Raw genomic sequence first — 6000 nt, 5'->3', positions numbered from 1 at the left:
TTATAGGTCTAGTAGTGATGAACTCTCTTAGATTTTGTTTGTCTGGGAAAGTTTTTATTTCTCCCTCATTTCTGAAAGACACATTTGCTGAGTAAAGAATTCTTGGTTGCCATTTTTCTTTCCTTTGATATTTTGAATATATCATCCCACTCTCCCCTGGCCTGCAAGATTTCTGCTGAGAAATCAAATGATAGTTGTATTGGCATTTCTTCATGATGTGTTTATCTCTTGCTGCTCTTAGAATTTTTTCTTTGCCATTGATTGTTGGTAGTTTATTATATGTCTTGATGAACTCCTCTTTGGGTTGAATTAGATTGGAGACCTCTGTGCTTCCTGTACCTATATGTTGGCATCTATCCCTAGATTAGGGAAGTTTTTAGCCACTATTTCTTTAAATATGCTTTCTAACCCTTTTTGTCTTTCTTCTACTTCTACGATTCCTGTTATGTAAAGGTTTGGTCTCTTGATGGTGTCCCATAATTCCCATAGATTTTCTTCATTTTTTAAAATCTTTTGTCTTTTGCAGCTCTAATGGGATAATTTTAAATGCTGTGTCTTCCAGCTCACTGATTTTTTCATTTGCTTGATTGAGTCTGCTGTTGTAGCTTTCTATTGAGTTTTTCAGTGCTTCATCTCCAGGATTTCTATTTGATTAATTTTCATTGTTTCTATTGGTTAAACTCCTCACTTTCTTCATGTATTATTTTCCAAATGTTATTTAATTTTCTATCCAAATATTCTGGTAGTTCACTGAACTTCTTTAAGAGGATTATTCTGAATTCTTTTTTAGTCATTTCATATATCTCCATTTCTTTAATGTCCATAACTGGAGCTTCATTTATTTCTTTTTCGTTTTTTTTTTTTGAGACGGAGTCTCGCTCTTTCGCCCAGGCCAGACTGCAGTGGCGCTATCTCGGCTCGCTGCAAACTCCACCTCCCAGGTTCCTCAGCCTCCCAAGTAGCTGGGACTGCAGGCGCCCACCACCACGCCTGGATAATTTTTTTTTTTTTTTTTTTTTTTTGAGACGGAGTCTCGCTCTGTCGCCCAGGCTGGAGTGCAGTGGCACGATCTCGGCTCACTGCAAGCTCCGCCTCCCAGGTTCACGCCATTCTCCTGCCTCAGCCTCCTGAGTAGCTGGGACTACAGGCGCCCACCACCACGCCTGGCTAATTTTTTGTATTTTTAGTAGAGATGGGTTTTCACCATGTTAATCAGGATGGTCGCGATCTCCTGACCTCGTGGAGCATCATTTTTAAAAGCCAGTTGGTGGCTGGGCACAGTGGCTCATGCCTGTAATCCCAGCACTTTGCGAGGCCAAGGCAGGGAGATCACCTGAGGTCGGGAGTTCAAGACAAGCCTGCCCAACATGGCGAAACCCCATCTCTACTAAAAATACAAAAAATAACCAGGCGTGGTGGTGGGCACCAGTAATCTCAGCTACTTGGGAGGCTAAGGCAAGAGAATCTCTTGAGCCAAGGAGGCAGAGGTTACAGTGAGCCAAGATTGTGCCACTGCACTCCAGCATGGACAACAGAGCAAGACTCTGTCAAAAAAAAAAAAAAAAGCCAGTTGGTCAGAGAATCTGGGAAATCTAGTTTGCAGAGGCCAGCCCCAGTATCACACAGCAAAGCATAGAAAGGGGAATTTGAAGCTAGGAAACAATAGGTAAATAACTGGAACAGTTCTCTCTACTAAGCATTCATACACACTCTTCTGCTCATATTTTAAATTTCCAAGAAAAATAACAACTCCATGCCTCCACCTATCAAGACACAACCAAGAACAACAAAGAAGTTCTCATCCCCTTCCCCCAAAAAATAATAGGTAAACTCATAACAGTCCCCATATCCATCTCTGTGTGATGCTACTTTCTCTTCTAGTTTAGCTGGAATCCCATGAGAATCATTTGGAACCTAATTAGACTAAGAGTAACCCTTATCTAAAAAACAAGGGAGAAGTAGGGAGGAAAAATAATACATACAGATGTATATGTACATATCAAGCAAGGAAAAAATATACATAGCTGCTTCACCCCATTTCTGTACGTGGTACTGAAGCTGTAGTTGTTATATAGAGCTTCCTATCTCACTGTACATTTCAACCCCCTTTATCCTCAGCCAGTATCTCAACTGACCCAGATTCTTTGGAGTAGCCCAAACCTTCATTCCTGAAAGGTCTGATCCCCATTTGTCTTCATTTAGTTTTTCATTAGCTTTTTTTCTACTGGACATGGTACTAAGAGGTACCCTAGAGAATCTACTGAGCTTTATTATGTCTTAGCAACTAAATTCCCCTATGTAATTGGGATTACTCCAGCCAATACAATAACCTCCTTTGCCTGTTAGTTGAGAGACATACAAAGTCCAAAATGGCCAATGGTAGTCCCAACTCATAAATAAAAAATGTAAATCAATTATGTTCCCTCATGGAAGCATTCCTCCGTGGAGAACTAAGACTTCTAAGCCAGCAGAACCTTATCAAGGATAGGAAACAAAAATTCTGTGAGTGGGGCGTTAGGATATGCTCCCACTTCTGCACCTGCATCCCCAGACTTGAGTATTCTGGCTGTGGAAAAAATAGCACATATGTTGATTACTGGTTACACACACACACACACACAAACACACACACACACACACACACCCTGTAGAATATACCCCAAACCTAGAGTGTTGTCTTCCAATTTATACTGTAATTGTCTTTGGTAGGCTATTTCACTGTTCTCTCAGGCCACTGGTTTCTGGGTGTTTGGATATGTGGTACAACCAGTAAATGACATGGGCATGAGCCTCTGTGACTCTTCTATTTCTGTAAAATGAATTATTTAGTCAAAAGTGATGTATGAAATACTTTGGTGATGAATAAAGCATTCCATAAGTCTAGGGAGGATGGTGCTATCAGAAGCATTGCAGACAGAAAAGATAAGTCCATGTCCATATCAATTGATTATTCAATGGGAACAAATTATCACCCACTCCACATTGGGGATCAGCACTGGTCTGTGCTGCTGGGAGGTGAGACATGTAGCAATGGTTGCTGGATCATCTTTGGTGAGGGAAAGTCTATGCTGTTATGCCCATCCCTGCCATCATGGCCACTTTGAACATGAGCAATTGAGGAAACATTGGGTGGGAAAGGGGCTGGCTAACCTCCTCAGAGCATGTCTTCCTGTCTACATGATTATTCTATAGTAGGTGCCCTTGGTGAACATCCACATTGGACACAAATATCCTCACACTCTGTGCACTTTTAAATAGGTCCATCCCCATATCTCTTCCCTAGATCCCTTCTCACTGATTTGCCAATCTTATTTTTTCCAATGTCCCTGACCAACTGGCCAATTCTTTAACCCCTGCCCATGGGCCAATACAGATTCTCTCCTCTGAGTATTTCACATTGACCCAGTTGCCAGTGAAATGGACTGCTTGAAGTTCTGTTAGGTGAGACAATTTCTCTTCAACACTGTCTTTCAGGAATCCTTCTGAGGTTGTAATGCTACAGCAGTCTACTTCCTGTTCGTACAAGTATCATTAGGTTTCAGTTTTTCTTCCTAAGCCAATTGGTAATAAGGAATTCACCAGCAAATTATAGGACTACACAGAGGGAGAGGAACAGTGAAGCAGGGGTAGGTGTCATATGTAATTTCTTTGTGCCTTCAGGTTTGCTTAATTTTGATCCCTATTATACAATTTCTATTTAATTAATAATTGGTGCTGTGAATGCTCACCCTTATTGCTTAATGAATCAGATAACACCTAGTTCATAAGAGGAAACTAAGATTACGTGGTCTCTTGATGTTCCATGGTTAAACAATCTAGCTCTACAGGAACCCAGTCAGAGTTAGTTCTCAATTGGAGAATGAAGCATGACTTTGCTTTCAAATCCTAGAGACCTGCTCTGTTATTCTCCTTCAGGGCTTTTCAGGAGGCCTCACTGAACATCTCTTTGTGCCATAAACCTATAAAATACATCTGGCACAGAAGGTCCAAGTAGCAAAACAGCTTGTTACTACAGCTTGGACCTGATGCAGAGACTTTTCGTGTTTGGAGCCCCCTTCAAAACTATCAAGGTACTGAGTTGGAGCACACTCAAATATACCATACATTGACCTCCAGAAGCAAGTCAAGCATTAAAAAGGAAACCTCTTTTTTAATGGTAGAAAGTGCAATTAGAGTAACATGTCAATCCCTTTGGAAGAGATATTCCAACATGCTTTAGGCTCATGAACTTCCAAAAACCTCCCTAAGTCCCTGAATTTGTGTGGTTTTTATCTCCCACCTTTTGGCACACATGTGTCTTAATATGACATCTAGGATACTTGCTACTTCCTGGTCATCAGAACCAGTCATCATTGTATCATTGATGTAGTGGGCTATTTTTTTTTTTTTTTTGAGACGGAGACTCACTCTGTCACCCAGGCTGGAGTGAAGTGGCGTGATCTTGGCTCACCGCAACCTCCACCTCCTGGGTTCAAGCGATTCTCCTGCCTCAGCCTCCCGAGTAGCTGGGATTACAGGTGTATGCCACCACATCCAGCTAATTTTTGTATTTTTAGTAGAGACGGGGTTTCACTGTGTTGGTCAGACTGTTCTCGAACTCCTGACCTCAGGTGATCCGCCCACCTCGGCCTCCCAAAGTGCTGGGATTACAAGTGTGAGCCACTGTGCCTGGCCTTATTTTGATTTTCTGTAAAATGTTAAGACAACCATGATTTCTACTGATTAGGTGATGGTAGAGAGCAGGAGAGCTGACACGGCCTTGAAGCAAATGACGGTGTACCATTATTTCTGCTAGGTGAACATAAACTGCTTCAGGTGACTTTGCAAATTGACATAAAAATAAAAGCATATGTTATATTAATACTAAGTATGAGAAGCTGAGTTGATTTGCTCCAGGAAGGATATTAGATCTGGAACAGCAATTGGCAACTTCACCTGATTAAGCATATGAGAATCAAGTATTTTTTTCCAAGATCAAACCACCTTCTCTTGCAGGCCAAACCAGCAAGGTAAATGGGGATGCAGTATCTTTTAAATCTTTGATGATGGCACTGACCTCTGAAATTCCTCCAGAGATGCTTTTGGTTTACATCCTGGTAGGGAAGGAAAGTTCCAAGGTCTTCTTCCAGTTGGTTCTTCCTGTCATAATAGTCCTCACTCAGTAGATCAGAGGGCCAATGTAGGGATTCTTACAGTTGCTGAATAGGCCTATTTCAATTATACATTCAAGAATCGTGTAAATAACCTAATTTTCTATTAATTTCAGAATGTATTATTGAACAAAACACAACTCACATCTAAAATAAAATGTCTCTGAAAGGCTGAAAGTCAAAGTATGGCCATAGACATAGTAGGCAAATGACAGCATAAAGAATACAATCCTAGCTGGGCACGGTGGCTCACGCCTGTAATCCCAGCACTTTGGGAGGCTGAGGTGGGTGGATTACCTGAGGTCAGGAGTTCGAGACCAGCCTGGCCAACATAGTGAAACCTCATCTCTACTAAAAATACAAAAATTAGCCAGGTGAGGTGGCTCACACCTGTAATCCCAGCTACTTGGGAGGCTGATGCAGGAGAATCGTTTGAACCTGGGAGGCAGAGATTGCAGCGAGCTGAGATTGCACCACTGCACTCCAGCCTGGTCCACAGAGCAAGACTCTGTCTCAAAAAAAAAAAAAAAGAAACAAAGAAAGAATACAGTCCTTAGTGCCCAGATTGTGGTCTCTATATACCTTTACCCACTAAAAAGAATCAGGGCTTCTAGGATAAATGACTGATTCCACATCTGGGACAAGAAAATTAAAAGGTGAATCTGAAACATCTGGTACCACAAAGCAAAGAATGTCCAAAGACTACTATGATTGTCATGTCAAAAAGACTCATGATATAACTTGAAAGAGCACCCAAAGACCAAATATGGGACAATTTTGGTAGCAATTTAAAATGATGATTTCCATTTCTTGATTGATGGGCATTTGGGTTGATTCCACAATTTTGGAA

Source organism: Homo sapiens, chromosome 15 (genome assembly GCF_000001405.40).
Source record: "Homo sapiens chromosome 15, GRCh38.p14 Primary Assembly".
Taxonomy (NCBI): domain Eukaryota; kingdom Metazoa; phylum Chordata; class Mammalia; order Primates; family Hominidae; genus Homo; species Homo sapiens.
The sequence above is the reverse complement of the archived record's forward strand: the minus strand, read 5'-3'. Positions refer to the sequence as shown.